This window comes from Homo sapiens, chromosome 2 (assembly GCF_000001405.40).
Source record: "Homo sapiens chromosome 2, GRCh38.p14 Primary Assembly".
Lineage (NCBI taxonomy): Eukaryota > Metazoa > Chordata > Mammalia > Primates > Hominidae > Homo > Homo sapiens.
This window is the reverse complement of record NC_000002.12, coordinates 117,956,177-117,973,135: the sequence shown is the minus strand read 5'-3', so window position 1 is coordinate 117,973,135 and position 16,959 is coordinate 117,956,177. Positions and strand designations below refer to the sequence as shown.

The 16,959-nt window shown below is 40.8% G+C and overlaps 1 protein-coding gene across 6 annotated transcripts in view; it reads left to right on the top strand.

Annotated features, from left to right (window-relative positions):
- CCDC93 (CCC complex scaffolding subunit CCDC93) overlaps positions 1–16,959 on the top strand; it is a 98,590-nt gene that overhangs the window by 40,935 nt on the left and 40,696 nt on the right. For 4 of the 6 annotated variants that reach the window (NM_019044.5, XM_011511361.1, XM_047444816.1 and 1 more), the window contains one exon: positions 14,655–14,771. In NM_019044.5, coding sequence (NP_061917.3) covers positions 14,655–14,771 — 117 coding nt within the window. The remainder of the gene's footprint in view (positions 1–14,654; positions 14,772–16,959) is intronic. The other 2 variants (XM_011511359.2, XM_006712600.3) reach the window with 1 other exon arrangement.

Here is a 16,959-nt window from a genome sequence, read left to right as displayed (position 1 = left end):
TACAGTTAGGGAAAAATTGTCCCCAGTAATCTGGAGGCGTTATCAGCTATAACACCCCCAAGACTTTTGGGAAACAGTTTTAAATGCCTAGTGCTGCCATCCGTGGGAACCTCTGGGAGGGAGACTTGAAGGACCCTTGTGCAAGCGAATATGAGTGAGTAAAACAGCTTGGAATGTCTCAGGGTGAGATTCCTTTGTTTTCCCCACTCCCCCAAGTAAGTGTTTCTTAACATGGGCTTTCTAGTCCAATCTCATAGAATCCAGAGTGTCCTGTCTTTCCATTACCACCTAGGAAAGATGACACTGCTCAAAGTGTCATCTGAAATTTGACCAGAAAAGGATGTTTGTTATCCTAAAAGTACAAATGAAGATGTAATTATGGAAACAGTATTAACTCACTGTCTGAGAAGAAAGTGTCTTCGTTTCCTGTCAGCACACACATCTGAATGGCAAGAGTGTGAGTTTATACCCGCCCTTATGTTGCCACATAGCATTGCTGAACCCAGTTTTTCAGAAAAAAAAAAAAATGACAACTGGATAGAGCACCCACTGCTGTTTCTACAGGGAGCACGTAGGAGCTCTGATGATTGTAAGAGGAAAAAGCAGGCAGGCAGAGCCCCCTGTGGTTGGCAGTGCATCTCTCTTTCCACACTTTTCCCTGCCTAGGACTCCTAAAGCTCACCTGACTTCCCCAGTTATTCTGCATTTTACACGTCTCCTTCTGGATCTCTCTGTGTCTTTATCTCCTAATAAGCTTTTTCTTCCTCACTCTTGACCAGTGATCTCTATCCAACTCTGATGGATACATTCTGGTTTATCTGTCTTGGACCATTCTCTACCTCCATTCCATTCTTCTAGAAAAGAGTGAAATTAGGAGTAATTTGGACAGGAAGCCGTGCCAAGATTTTTTCTAAGGACATATATGCTGTTGATTCTTGATCAACACAGGTTTGGACTGTGTGGGTCCACTTACATGTGGATTTTTTCCCAACCAGATGTGTATGGAAACTACAGTATTCATGGGATGCAAAACCAGTGTATATGGAGGGCCAACTTTTCATATATGTGGGTTCCGTACAGCCGACTGCAGAGTATGCACAGATTTTGGCATAAGCAGGTGGTTTTTGAACCAATCCCCCACATATACTAAGAGATGACTGTAGTTAAACTTCCAATGGAGAAGCGGAGGTGTCAAACATTCATTACTTAATTGTGTTGTTTTCATTGGGTAGGTAGTATAGCATTAAAGCTGATGGTTTTTCAAAATTAAATTGCCTTTAATCCTATTCCCATATTGCAGTTATTTCACATTTGCATATTATTTTGCAGTGCTTGTTCCCAGATCTTCATAGTTGTGTATAGTTGTAATCATCATATATGTCTAAAAGAGGTAGGACAGTGAGTGAGTGCAGTGATTAAAAACACACCATTTGAAGCCATATCTTGGTTCATTTCTGCCTTTTCCATTTCCCAGCTGTGTGACCTCGGCCATATATTTAATCTCTCTTTGCCCTAGTATCTGCTTTATAAAATGAGAATAATATTACTTTTCTGACAGGTGTTGGGAAGATTAAATGAAATGTGACCAAAATGCCTCAAACGGTGCCTGGCACTCTTCAGCTGTTGATAGCTTTATTTTCATTACTGTAGTCTTCATTCTTTTTGGTTTTGTCAGATCACATCCTAAATATTTTCTAGCCTTCCCGTTTGTTTATTTATTTTTATTTTTCTAAGTGTGTGTTTGTGTGTATGGGTGGCTGTGTGTGTTTCCTGAGATAGGATCTCACTCTGTTGCCCAGGCAAAGAGTGCAGTAGTACAATCTCAGCTCACTTTAGCCTTGGTCTCCCAGGCTCAGGTGATCCTGCCATCTCAGCCTCCCAAGTAGCTGGGACTGCAGGCGCATACCACCATGCCTGGCTAAGTTTTGTATTTTTTGTAGAGATGGGGTTTTGTCATGTTGCCTAGGCTGGTGTTGAACTCCTGGGCTCAAGCCATCCTCCCACCTCAGCCTCCCAAAGTGCTGGGATTGCAGGTCTCAGCCACTGTGGCTGGCCGTTCCCATTTATTTTAATAACTACATAATTTATGTGTTAATACAGCGCAGTTCATTAAACTTTTTTTTGTTAGACACAATTTTAAGTTGTTTCTGTTTGCCATTGTGGATAATATTGTGAAATGTGATCAGATAGTTTCTGCTGAGAGGTTTTCTAGGTGTTGGATGATTGGTTATCACTCCCTCTGTGTGTTACAACTACGTAAAATACTAACAGTTGTGAAGGGACTTCCCAGCATATGCCCCCAATATTTCCAGCTTTGATTTTTTTGTTTGTCTAATTTGTTACTGTAGCAACTATAAAATGGCAGCTCTGTAGACCACTGAGAGGATCGAAGATGGTTCTGTGTAAGTACAGGTTACAGAGAACTCATCCAGTACCATGTAACTAATAAGTTCCAGGTTTGAATACAGGACTGTTTACTGTGTTTTCTTCTCTGAATTGTCTGTTATAGACTATACTCGAGTAACGTTTTCCTTGTGAATTTGAATAAAGTCTATACTTCAGATTTAAATATATTGTCACTGTGATGCAAGTATTTCTCAGGCACTTTATTTTACTTTTGTATTGTTTTTCATTATATACAAGGAATTTGTACCCAAGTTGGTCAGTCTTTTTTTTTTATTCTTGTTTCCAAATGAGAGGTTCATTGTTTTTCCATGGATCTGGTAAAATAGTTAATGCATGTCAGCTGGTCTTTTATTAATTATGTTTAATTCTTTAACCTATGTAGAATTTATTCTTCTTTAGCCTAAAGTGGGGACCTGTCCTAGTTTTCCTATTCATATCCACTTATCCTACTACTGTTTGTCAGATAATTTCTTTCTACTCATTTGGAGATACTTGATTCTATTTTTATGTCTTATAGCTAAACTGAGTATGGCCTCTTTCTTGTATTATTGGTTTATACTTCTATTTTATGCAGTTCTGTGGTAAAGTCATGCATGGTGTTTTTGTTATTTGCTTGATTTGTTTTTGTTTTGTCAGTGCTCTCCAGTCAAAGACCTAGTTTGTTCAATTAGGAACATATCTGTGGTTGAACAAGTTGGGTATATTGCTGCTTGTAGTGAGGGAGAACACATACCAATGGGAATCATGGGGCCTTTCAGTAAGAATGTGTCAGAAAGGACTTAGTATAGGATTTGGACTTATGTAAGGTGACTTGAAGGAGGGTTCAAGGAAGTGGGGCTTTGCTTTGGGTTCGATGCTGTAAGGAAGGGTGAGTCTGTCAATGAGTATCTTAATAAATCTTATCTCTAAGACATGGGGAAAATGAATCAAGGTTAAAGCTATGTATGCGTAATAGCTAGTATAGGGGATATTTGGTCATTTTTGTGATTCGGACAATGTTTATGTTTTCGTCCATGTTCGGACATACTCATAGTCATAGGGTGGCCTTGTCTGGTATTGGTGTTCTTTGAAATTGTTTATGTTTTGCAACAAGGCCTGGTTATGAGTGCAAGTCAGCCTCCCACCAACATCAATGCCTTGCTAATAGTACCAGGCTAGCTTTCAGACGTCAGGGGCTGCTTTTCTCATTCTCACGTTGTTTGTGTGGTTATCTGCTATTGTGTGGCAGTACTGCCACAAATGTAGTCACTTAAAATAACACACATTTATTGTCTCACTGTTTCTGTGGGGCAGCAGTTGGGCACAGCTTAGCAGCACCCTCTGTGAGTCTTACAAGGCTGCAGTCTCATCTGAGGCTCTACTGGGGAAGGATTCGCTTCCAAGCTTACATGGTTGTTGGCAGCATTCAGTTCCTTGCAACCTGCTCACTGAGGTCACCAGTTTTTGCTGGCCGTTAGCTGGAGGCTACCTGCAGTTCCTTGTCACATGAGCCTCTCCTACATTGCCACTTATTTCATCAAAGCTAGCAAGGGAGGGCATCTCCCTGCAGGGCAGGCATTATAGACTTACATAACGTAATTACATATATGTAATCAAAAGACTGCCTTTTCTCTGTGGTGTATTCTGTTGGTTAGAAGCAAGGCACAGCTTCCGTCCACACCCAAAAGAAAGGGGTTACACAAAGGCAGGTGTGAACATCAGCAGGTGGGAATCATGGGGCCATTGTAGAGTTGTCTACCATGGTTTGCTTATTGGTCTTTTAATCATACTGCCACAGATTGGGCTGAAACTGGACACTGGCAATGCTGCCACCTTCAGGGTCTCAGTAATATACCTTGGAAATAGAGATGGGATTGAGGAATGCCCAGGAGGGAAGCTGTTGGTAGTATCTGAGAAAAACTCACTTAGGCTGAGATCAGGATTTTTTTTTTCTTTATGAAGAGAGGGAAAAGGATAATTTGCGGGGAGGATCAAGTGTAAAAATGATTTTGTGACCAGGGAATAAATTGAATAGCCTGCCAGATGTGAGTGTTTGGAAACTTCACAGGCACTGGGATATAAAAACAAGGTAAAAAACATGTGCAGTATTCTCTTTTACTGGTAAAGTTCACAAGTTTCTTATAAGAGTGTAACATAACATGTATCTCAAAGTTCCTGAGACATGTAACTCAATATGGTTCTTGTAGAGCAGCAGAAAGAGGAATGTGAAGAAGCTTCCAGATACATAATTCATGAGTGTCCGTAGACTCTAGGCTGAGTAGCTCCATCTGCCATTGTTTCCAAAGGGTAACACCCTTCCCTGAATGTGCTACAAGAAGTACCAGTGTGCTTTTGGTGTTCATGTCTAATATTCTCACTGCATCATAGCATTTATTTTTACAGGGAAGAAGAATCTATTACTCTGATTTACAGAAAACTGAAATGCCTGACTGTCCAAAATATATTTCCGCCCTGCAACCCCCTAAGCTTGATAGGAGCCAGAAGAAAGAAAAGGAAGCTGGGCCAGGGAAGTTGCAAGGTCCCTGGGAGGGCAGGAAGGGACTTTCCCTAATGCTGCATACTAACTAACCATACACCGTTTTGACCGCTTTAATACTTAGTCTGCCAACTAAATCATTCATTGGTTGACTTCTCCCTAAGACAGGATATTGGAACATTTTGTAGCTCTAAAGGATCTGAATATTTTATAGCTCTAGAGGCACAGATTTGTCTTGGTGAATCTGAATCTACCCTGAGTGCCTCTCCATGCAGATTCTTTGTGTACCATTATCTCATTTAGTTCTTATTTTTTAATTCTAAAAAATTATCTCATTTAATTCGTATAGGCTGCCTTCCTGCTTATAATCCTCTGCCTTCCTCCATCATTATACTTATATGCAGTTGAAACTATCTGTTTATGTGGCTGTGGACCACCTTTACTCTTGTTTGTAATCTGAGAGTCTCGCTAAGGGCCCACCAGTGTTGGTGCTCTATAAATGAGTACGTGATATTATATCCATTTTGCAGGCAAAGAAACGAGATTATGTGACTTGTCCAGTGCCATACAGCTAATAAGTTCCAGGTTTGAGTGCAGGACTGTTTTGACTTTGCAATCTTTCTCCTTGGCTAGGTGGAGCTTCCTTAGGGAGAAGCAGGGACAGCCTCCTTTACCATCCTTAGTGTCTGCCTTCCAGGCTTGGCTGTGGCTGTGCCTCCTTAGACTGTCCCACTATTCAACTGCCTACCTTGGGCTATTGGTAGCTAGGGCATACCGGGAACTAACCACGGAAACAAGAGAAAGTGAAAATGGTGCAGCTCAGCCCAGGCACTCACACACCATAAACCTAAGCTGCTGAAAGCCGTGGAAGTTTGTATTTGGAGTATCTAAGTGACTCTTCATGTTTCTGGAGAATACCACATTAATGTGGTCTCATGCAGTCCTTTAAAGGGTAATATCTGGCTAGGCATGGTGGCTCACGCCTGTAATCCCAGCACTTTGGAAGGCTGAGGCAGGCAGATCACTTGAGGTCAGGAGTTTGAGACCAGCCTGGCCAACATGGTGAAACCCTGTCTCTACTAAAATACAAAAATTAGCTGGGTGTGGTGGCACATGCTTGTAATCCCAGCTACTTGGGAGGCTGAGGTGGGATTGGTAGCTTGAACCTGGGAGGCGGAGGTTGCAGTGAGCTGAGATCGCGCCACTGCACTCCAGCCTGGGCGACAGAGAGAGACTTTGTTTCAGAAAAAAAAGGCAGTGGGAGGTAATATCCTAGCCCGAAGAATGTCAACATCTTGATCTCATTTCCATAGCAAGGTGTATTTTAGATCATCAAGGGACTTATTTGTGGAAGGAATTTTTCCTTAATGGGTTTTGGAAATTTTCCTGTCCAGCAATTAAGAAATTCTGGCACCATTGCCTCTGACCTTTTGATTCTGAGAATCATTCTCTGGCAGTTAGAAGCCTTTGCTCTATCTTGAAGTCATATCTTTCCAGAGCACCTGGGGAATCTCGCCAGATAATTAGAGCTTGGGTATGGTCAAGGATGTACTTATGAAAAAACACAAAGGAAAGTGTCTCTTCTAGAAAAAGCAGACAGCCACATTTGATTAGAGCAGATCTTGTCCCCATCTATCATGATGATTTTTATTCCACTTTATGATGCAATCAGCAGAGAAGACTGCCTCTTCAGTTCTGTCACTCACTAAGTTGGACCCTTTGCCTTTTAAGCCTTTTGGGTGCAAGTAATAGGAATTCTACCCAGCATGTTGCTATAAGCAAAAGGGAGCCTTTATCAGCTCTCAGAACTGGAAGTATTTAGTGGGGGACTCAAATGGCCCTGCCATATCCCTTTACCCTTGCTTCACTTTGTCTCTGTCTTGGCTTCATCACCTTGGAGGCCTGACTGTAGACAGTTTCTGTCTTACTGCCCCCTTCCTCCATCAGTGTATAAAATCCTAAGGAAGGACTGTCCTCTGTCTGTCATGGCTTAGGTCACAGATTTCTCCCCAGGCCCATTGTTGCCAGGAGTTGGGTGTGACTGGCAGCCCCTCTGAACTAGAAAGAGTAGGAGACAGGGATTACTTTTCTACCAACAGATATGGGGCACACATGGTGGCTAGCACCCCCATAAGGCCTTCGTTTCCACTAGGCCCTCAGGAAATTTATTCAACAAAGTTGGAGGGAATTGACCCAAAAGAATCAATTGTTAATATATCGTTTGTCCTCTTAGTAGTTGCCTTCACGTTGTTATTTCTCCACCCTGGGTTTGTAACTCTTACACTTTTTCCAAACGTATGAAGTCTTCTGAAAATATATTTTTAAATTAATACAATCTTTTTATATTTTAAGTCTTTGTTTTTTTTTTCTGCCAGAGAACTGATGGAATTGACCTCATAATCACTGTCATGTGAAAGAGTGATTAGATATATTTCTTCTTTCAGCAAACACCTGTTGAGTAGATCTGCATCCAGGCAGTGTCAGGTGTAGGGGGCAGGGATTGCGTTACGCGTGAGTCAGGGTTGCGGCCCTGAGGGGCTTCCAGTAAGGAGTCAGTCAACCTGTGAAAACATAAATTACAGAATAATACAATTTGTATGCCTATAAAGTGGCTGCCGGGTGCTACTAGGTTTGTGTTATCATTTGAAGTGACAGTATCTGCCCAAAGAAAAGTTGTTGATATTTTTGTTGATATTAAAATATTTTTGCCTGATAATAACCAGGCAGAATGGATGACTTTTAAAATTATACCATGGGGTTAGAAATGGAAAAGGGAAGGGCTTAGGACTGAGTGAAGATACCACACCCCAGGGACATTGCCTGGGCCAGAAAGTAACAGGAAGCTTAGCAGCCCGGGGACCCCGACTGCTTTGTTAGAAAATCAGCCTGATCTGCCACCTGTGTGATTTCTAATAAGCTTAGATGTGAGTGTTTCCAATCCTATCATCCTGCCCAACTCAAAAAATGTTACCACTTGCTAGCAGCATCGGTTTGTGGAGTTGGGGAGAAGTGTAGTATGAGTCAGGAAAGGGGTGGGGGTGTTCCTCTCTTGGAAACCTCCTATTGTGGCCACAGATAGAAAAACCCAGGAGGGTTTGGGGGTCTAAAATCAGGAGGGGTGGGGGTCTAGGTAGATTTTTAAACCCCTTCATTCTAGATACTATTTCCTCACATAACATAATAGGTGTTGCATAAATCATATTCCTAACCTCTGAAGTTTTAGAGGGCCAATATTTCATTTTTTATCTTTGTATTCCTGTTGCTTCATTCATAATAAATACTCAGTAGAAGATAATGGATCACTTGAAGACTTTGTGGAGACTCACCTGATAGCCATTAGCAATGATTCTGGGCCAGGCACAGAGGCTCACGCCTGTAATCCAAGCATTTTGGGAGCCTGAGGCGAGAGGATCGCTTGAGGCCAGGAGTTTGAGATCAGCCTGGGCAACATGGTGAGACCCCTATCTCTACAAAATATTTTTTTAAAATTACTTGGGTATAGTGACATGTACCTCCAGTCCCAGCTCCTTGGGAGGCAGAGGCAGGAGGATTGCTTGAGCTCAGGAGTTTGAGGTTGCAGTGAGCTATGATCATGCCACTGCATTCCAGCCTGGGCAACAGAGTGAGACCCTCTTAAAAAAAAAAAAATTCTACTTCTTAAAAGAGGCTCTTCAGTGATGTTGTAGAGATCAGCTCTTTATCTCCTTTGTAGCACTTCCCTCAAGCACTGTTTCGTTTGTTTCTTTGCTTGTCTCCCAGGACTAGAATGTTTGCTTTCCAGGAGGGCTAGGATTATAGTATACTCTCAGTGCCCAACACAATTGGGTTTTCACAGATATTTGCTGAAGGAAAGAAGAAAGGAAGAGAGGGAGAGGAAGGAACAACAGCAGCTTTCAAAACCCTTTTCCTCTGTGACACAATTTAGGCATTGAGGAGAATGCAGAGGATGCAACACCTTTACTTACGAATTAGCTGGTTTTGTCTGGCTAGATTATGAAGGGCCAGAGGTACAGTCTTTGTCTTTTCCCACTTCCCCAGTGCATACCACCGTGCCCCCACACAATAAGATCTGAGTAAAGATTAGCTGAAATAAGCCAAGGAAGGTGGGGAGAGAGATTTAAAATTTTAATCAGAGTTAAGAGAGTAAGGAACCCTGTAAATCTGGAGAGAACAATGCTAAATATGTTTCTGTTTACAAACGGCTCTAAGATTTCCTGAATTCGGATCGACTCTTACGTAATTAGTATACAATACCTAACTGCAAGGATAATGGTATCAACTAATGAATTGTCAGCCTGGTAAAATGATCTCAAGCCACACAGCACAACTTATACATTTCAGAGTCCGTATCAATTTGCATAAAGACTTGGACTTTAGCCTTGCCAGATTTGAGCATCACTTAAAGCATCACTTGCAAAGATAATTGGAACATCACTTAAGAAAAATGAAAAAACTGTTGAATTTCAGAAAAGTGAGTTGTACCAATTCATGATTTGGTGAGGATGCCATCTGACCTGACAGTAGTGTATGGGGATTAAAGAGGAGGTTTTGGATTTTGTTCACACCTCCTAAATGTTAAGTGCATTCTGAGCAGGCACACCGCATTACTCACAGTGGGACCCAAAGCAAAGCCTTAGACTCAACAAGGTTACATAACTATGGGTTTTTGAAATTCATGGAATTTCATTAGTGGGTTTTAAAAATATTGAAAAGAGCATTCATGTATTGAGTTTCATTTTTGGAAGCAGAATATAGATCAGGGAAAGTGGATGATTCCCTCCTATCTGCAGTGGTCACACATCATCAGGAGTGCTTTAGAAGTTCACTTACAAACTAGGATAACATCCAAGGTGGTGAAAGGTGTCAGCATCTTGTTATAGAAAGGACAGGTGGAAGAGCTGTAGACACTTAGTTGAACTGTTATCTGAAAGAGTGATTAGATTTAATCTGTTGCTTTAGGGAGGAATGGGCATGCTTGTATGTATATGGTGTGTGCATTGGGAGGGGGTGTATTTGAATAAGTCTTTACAGATGCAGTTCTGCTGTCTGTTTTCACTGGCTTTTGTTTATGGTAGTTTGACTTCTTGTCTGCTTTTGATTTTTGACTGTGAGCCCCATATCCCTTAGAAGTTTATCTGTAGGAACTATTTGAGGCCTAGGATTGAAGCTCTGTTCTTTCAGGGAAGATCTGCTTTTGCTTCTGCCAAGCACCTGGGGATACTTCAGCCCAAGTGCATTTTATACCTAGTCCTTACTTATGGGTTTTTTGCCCCAAAGTAGTGTGTGAATTAGGATTGCAGAACTGCATGAGGTCCAATCTGTTGTTACAAAATCTCATTGTGGATTTTTTCCCTCTTACAGCTGTATCAAGATTTATGTGGTAAAAAGTTGTTACTGAATTGTAAAAATCAAAGCTTGTGATCATCAGGTTTTGGCAAATACTCTCAGGAAAAAAAGCCAACTTCAGTGGGTACATATACATTCCTGGATTCCCACTTTCAGTTACTTTTTGGCCTTCCGAAATTTAACATTCTTGCTAGTTCTTAGATTTAAAAACATTTTTAAATAAATATTTCACATAGTCTGTTTACTTGTCTTTATTTATTTATTTGAGGCAGAGTCCCACTCTGCCGCCCAGGCTGGAGTGTAGTGGTGTGACCTCGGCTCACTGCAACCTCCACCTCCTGGGTTTAAGCAATTCTCATGCCTCAGCCTCCCAAGTAGCTGGGATTACAGGCGTATGCCACTATGCCTGGCTAATTTTTGTATTTTTAGTAGAGTAGGGTTTCACCATGTTGGCTAGGCTGGTCTTGAACTCCTGACCTCAAGTGATCCACTCACCTTGGCCTCTGGAGGTGCTGGGATTACAGGCGCGAGCCACTGCGCCCAGCCTACTTGTCCTTAATTGGTCAGTCAGGGTACCAAAAATTGAAGTCCATCTATTTAGTGTAGAGAACTCCTGGTACCTTGTAAGATAGGAATTCTTTATTATTGTCAGCTTAGTGACCATATTTTGGTGGGGTAGGGAGATGATATAGGAGAGAACCCTGTATTAGAAGGTTGATGTGTAAATAACCTTTTGGGTTTCTTTCAATTATAAAAGTATATAGTTTTAGCTAAAGTAATCATTTTTTGCTTCTCTTGGGAATTTACCATTTTGAACTAGACTAATATTATTCGGTGACATTTAAATCTGTTTCCTCTAAAAATAGAAGTTGTGAATATCTGTCAGTTATTAGAAAACACTAAATTTACACTAGAAGTCATCTTAATCCACAATGTGGTTTTGAAAGCACGTTCTTAATCTGAAAATGTTGAACAAATTAGATTGGCACTTTAGCCCTCACTGCAATGTAAACACAAATGGAATATTTGTAGATGGTTGATGTTCTTTGACAGATGTTGCATTTTGGCAGCAGAAATCTGTTAAGATGCTCTACGGTTTAAATTTTTTCTGTCAAGGATTTAGTATAAAGCCCCTTTTCCTCTTCTCCTTCTGTCTGACTTTGTCTCATCATTCAAAATCCACCTTGGTCATCTAGTTTTCTTTCTCATCGTATCTCTCAGTGAATGAACCATTAGATGAGACCTGCTGGTTTACGGACCTGTTCCTGTCTTCATCAGTCTGAGTTCTCTTGGCTTTGAGAAACAAAAAATTTAGATTGCTTAATAAAAAGTGTGTTTGAAAAACAGAGCGGTCAGCTTTCTGTTTACTAGGTTAGGAACTCTCATTTCAGCTCAGTAATAAACTGTTTTATCTGACTAAAAATAACTTCCCATTAAACAAAGCAGCTTCCCATAGCACTGTCTCTAAACTCAGAGGCAAACAGAGGAACTTACAAGTTTATAAGTACTGTGCGCCAGTAAATGTACATTTACAGGACTCCACACAGGACTAAGAATTATTACCTACCAATAAAAGAGAGCAGTTTGAAAGCTCATGTTTCCTTGGAACATATACTACTATAACAGATATGGTAGAGGTACCTATAGAGATTTCAAGATATTTTTCTGTGCATTGCGAGCATTTTCTCTCTGTATGGTTGTCTGAATCACGGGTCTAGTAAAAGAGCAGAATGAGAAAGAACTTTTCCCTCTCGGTGTTACATAAACGATGGCTGGCCAGTTGGTGAGCCCACCCCATTGACTGTCCCAGCCCATGGGTGGGTTACCAAGTGAACCAGGCTCCTTAGATTAAAGTAGCAGTTCTCAACATTTTATAATACTTTCAGGACCCAGTTAAAGACTCTTAAAAATAACTGAGGACTCAATAGCTTGTGTATTTTAATTCATTTACAGTAGCTTACGTATTCATTGACAGTAACATGTATTAATTCATACCCAATAGCTTATGTATTTACTTACAAATTATAATGAGCACATTAATATTAACATCAGATCAGTGATATCACATGTCATGTAACATCTGGAAGATGTCACTGTATAATCACGAGAATGAGAGTGAAAAGGCAAATAACATATTATTATGAAAAGGTATTTGGCCTCTGAGACCTTCTGACAGGGTTTTGAGGGAGCATGTGGCTCAAAATTGAGACTTAGATAGCTATCAACAGAAATAATCTTTCCACATATCAAGATGGCTGCTGGTTTTCCTGCAAGAAGAATTCTTGTAAGTGAAGTCTGAAGGTCATAATTTTAAAACAAAGCTGTATGTGTGCCACATACACTAATACGAGAGCATGGAAGCTGGGTGGGGGAATGCAGTTTTTATTTTCTTAGGACTTTGGCCATAAAAGCAGTTTATGAGCAAGAAAGCTTGCTAACAGTCAGAGACATCACCCAATCCATGCCAAAGCTGCAGAACAGAATTGAATGAGTTTACTCAGCCCCCACACACTGGAGGAAGTCTGGAAGGTGAGTGATACGTGGATCCACTGGAGCCTGCCTGCCCACGTCTCAGTCTCGAAGCCTGACAGGCATCTGGAGGAGGTCAGGATACTGAAGCATAATCCTCACACCAAACATAGAGACATACTGTATGGGAAATTAGTTCTGTTTCAGGTATCAGAAAAGCATGAATAGAAGGCTTATGTAATTCGGCTAGTAAAGCACAATGCTCTGAGAATATGCTTATGACACTTTGGAAGTCAAAGTCAAGGAATCTAAGCTGGATATTAAAACTCAAAGCTAAAATTAACTATAAAAAAGCTATTAAATACATAACATACAAAAGTGGCCAAATTAATAGCATAGTTCAGGTCAATCCAATCAAAGTAGAGGAGATGTAGTTAATTGTAATTCTGTTTTTGTAAGTGATTTAGAGTGGGGCTGGTCTTTCCTCTTCCACCACCCTTTTTTAATACTCTCAAATAATTTTCAGAAATAGTTTGTCCTTCTCCATACTACAAGTTGTGAATATCTTGGTGCGTCCAAAATTAATTTTAAAAAGTTAATTCCAATTCCCAGAAATCCTAAAAGCTAAAATAATGTTGACATTTTACACAGTCCCAGGTTTCAAGGCTAAATGTGTTGTAATAATAAATGCTTAGTTTTTCTGTTTCCTTTATGGCCTACCAGCCCATGAGACAGAAAGTGATGTTTCTTACCATTTTATGCAGCTGTATCCTGCTGGTTGTTTTGTAACTCCAAAATTGTTAAGTAGCAGAAGAACTCATCATCCATTAATAATACCTGCTGAATTATTCAGAGAAATCCTTAACCAGAATAAATGGTTATGGCCATCCAATTTCTCCTCATTCTCACTTTCCCATTTCTTTTTCCTGTGGGTAAATATCTTAGACTTTCAAGCCTAGGACACTGTTAAAACATTCAGGGAAAGTTGAATATCCAAATGGTTTTTGTTGCATGTGAGTTTAGAATCAATGATTAGCTTGGAATTGGGGTACTTACTATAAGAAAGAAGATGTTTTATTGTTGGTGTTTGACTGTTTAATAAAACTATAATCATCCAAGAAGTATTATAATTGCACTTATTGCAAAACGGTCTACCTTTTAATTTCTTTTTCCTGGGGCTTCTCACAGGAGTCTTGAGGCGGTGTTTGTATTCAGTATCTACACTAAGCTGCTTACTTCTTTGTGTGGTTTTTCAGGAATGGCCATTTGCCCTCCTGGAAAATGTTATCACATTCACCTCATCATCTTGTTCAGAGATCTCTCTCACACTCACTCCTGGTCCTGAGGATCCTTCTCCACCCCCTCCTCCCTTATAGAGTTGCAGAACTTTTCCTACCTGACCTCTCTCAGCACCTTTAATCCCTTTCCAATCAATCCCCTGTTAACTCCAGAACATCAGAAATAGGAAATGATTAAATTGGAGTGGGCCAAGTGATGGAAAATGTGTTGGGAGACTCTTCATTATAAGTGCTGCTGAATGGCTAGACTTTTTTAACCATTTGCTTATAATACTTCGATCACAGTGAATCAATTCATTATTCTTGATAACTCCAGAATGGTCTTATGAAGATATTACTATGGCCATGTTATTCCCCTATTTAAGACTTTTTGATGATACCTGTTGCCTATATGATATTGACATAACCACAGTTATGTCCCTGTACTTTTTTACACATGCTGTTCCCTCAGCCCAGAATGCAGGTTCTGTTGATAGGGATTTTGGTCATTGTGTCAGAATCTCTTCTGTACGCCAGGTTTTGAACAGGCCTCTGTAAATGCCCTGGCTTGGTGTGACTGGCTGCCCAGTACTGCTTTGCCCACATTGAACAGGGCTTGATTACATGAACCAAGGTCAACTAACTAAATCCTTTGGATTTGCCATCCCTTTTTTCCACAGCAGTCTGAGCTATCAGCTGAAGAAAGTCCAGAAAAATTAGGAACCTCCCAGCTACATCGCCGGAAAGTCATTTCCTTGAACAAACAGATTGCGCAAAAGACCAAACATCTTGAAGAGGTCAGTGTTTTCTTTTCGTAAGTTTATTCAAGATCTTCATGGTAGATTGGTTAAAGGAGATTCCAGAACGGGGGTTGGCATACTGTGGTGCTTGGGCCAGTCCAGTTGCCACTTGTTTTTGTAAATTAAGTTTTATTACAACATAACACATCCATTTGTTTACACATTTTCTGTGGCTGCTTTCAGGCTACAGTGGCAGAGTTGAGTAGTTGCAGAAGACCATAAGACCTACAAAGCCTAAAATATTTACTATCCAGCCCTTTGCAGAAAAAATTTGCTAACTTCTGTCATAGGAAAAGATCACAGGGCAAGAATAAATAGCATTAGTTAACAAATATCTACCGAGCACTACTGTGTGCTAGGCACTGAACTAGCTATTGGGATGAATGAAGAACAAGTTATGATCCTTCCTGTCAAGGATCTTAACTTCTAATGAGAAGTTACCACACTCATCGTCATTTAATTACAGGTGTGTTAAATGCTTGAAGGAGAAGTCTAGGAAGCTGGGAGAGTGACTAATAGGGAGACCTGACCTAGCCTCAGGTCACAGAGTTCTGAGACTGGAAAGATGAGTGGGTATTTCCAGGCAGGAAGTCTGTATGGGCTATATGGACTTACAGAACAACATGAACAAAGACCAGAGGAGGAAGGGTCTTAGCCAGTCTGTTTTGTGGCCAGGGAGTCATGAATGAAGACAGTTGGTTGGCAGTGTCTGATCAACAGGACCATCCAAGCCATGTTAAGGACAACAGAAGCCATTGACGTGTTTAAATAGGGGAGTGGCATGATCAGAATTGCATATTGTAAAGACCATTCTGTTTGCTGCAGGAGCATGAATTAACTGGACTTGGGTGAGAAGGAATTCAGGGACAACAGGTAGGAGGCTGATGCAATAGTCTAGACGTGGACTGCTACTATTGATGGCAGGGAAATGGAGGAAACTTGATCATTTTTAAAAGAGCTGTAGGAGATGGTGTTCTGTAATACCTGGTGATATGAGACTGTTTTGGAAAGACCTTCATATATTTGCCCTGAAAAGTAGACCTAAGAGGAAGCTGGGAAGTTTGACTCAGCAACAGTCATTGGACAATAAAAAAGTTATATGCTTCAGTTGCATTAGCAATAGATTAGATTAGAAGAATACACGTAGAAGAAGATTAAGAGAATGAATATGGGCCAGGTGTGGTGGCTCACGCCTGTAATCCCAGCACTTTGGGAGGCTGAGGAGGGGCAGATCACTTGAGGTCGGGAGTTCAAGAGCAGCCTAACCAACTTGGAGACTCCCTGTCTCTACTAAAAATACAAAATTAGCTGGGCATGGTGGCGCCTGCTTGTAATCCCAGCTACTCAGGAGGCTGAGGCAGGAGAATTGCTTGAAACCAGGAGGCGGAGGTTGCGGTGAGCCGAGATCATGCTGTTGCACTCTAGCCTGGGCAACAAGAGCGAAACTCCATCTCAAAAAAAAAAAAAAAATGGGTACCAGTTGGCATTTTGAGCTTGTTAGTTTTTAGTTAGTCCCACATATTTAAAAGGTATTAACCTATCAAATGGTCCTGCCCAATCATTTCTTTATTTGAATTTGTTCTATTAGAATTTGTTCTACCATAGCTGAACAAATAATAGGTTGGTTTGCTAAATGCTCTGGATCAAAGAAGGATGAAAAGATAGCCTATGATTTGGTTTCTGTTCAGTTATTTGTTTAGACATTTTAATGAGTTGTCAACTCAGACAGTATCATCCCTACTCCTGACCCCTGCTGGTGATAAGAATGGTTCAAAAAGAACTCATCACAGAATCAGGAGCAGGAGACAAGGATGAGTCTTCCTTATTATGGTGTCTTTATCTCTGAGGGAAGATAGTTTTGAGATTATTGTGGACTCCAGGAGCCAGAGTATCCCAGCAGGAACGGACATTTGCTTCTACCTTCTGTCTAAACCTGGGGAGAAGCAATACTAAGCCTCAACACAAATGGCAGTCTTGACTCATTCTTGGTCCAGCTGACAGGGCAATCCTCCCTGACTCTTGAGTCTGTTTTGCAGTTGGTTCAGAACACTTTTACCCAGAGTCTGTTATTTTTCAAGCATACTGCTTAACATAGCAGGCTGTCATTTTTCAAGCATACTGCTTAACATAGCAGGCTGTCATTAAAAGACAGCAATCATTATTGCAATGTTTAATGTAATTAGAG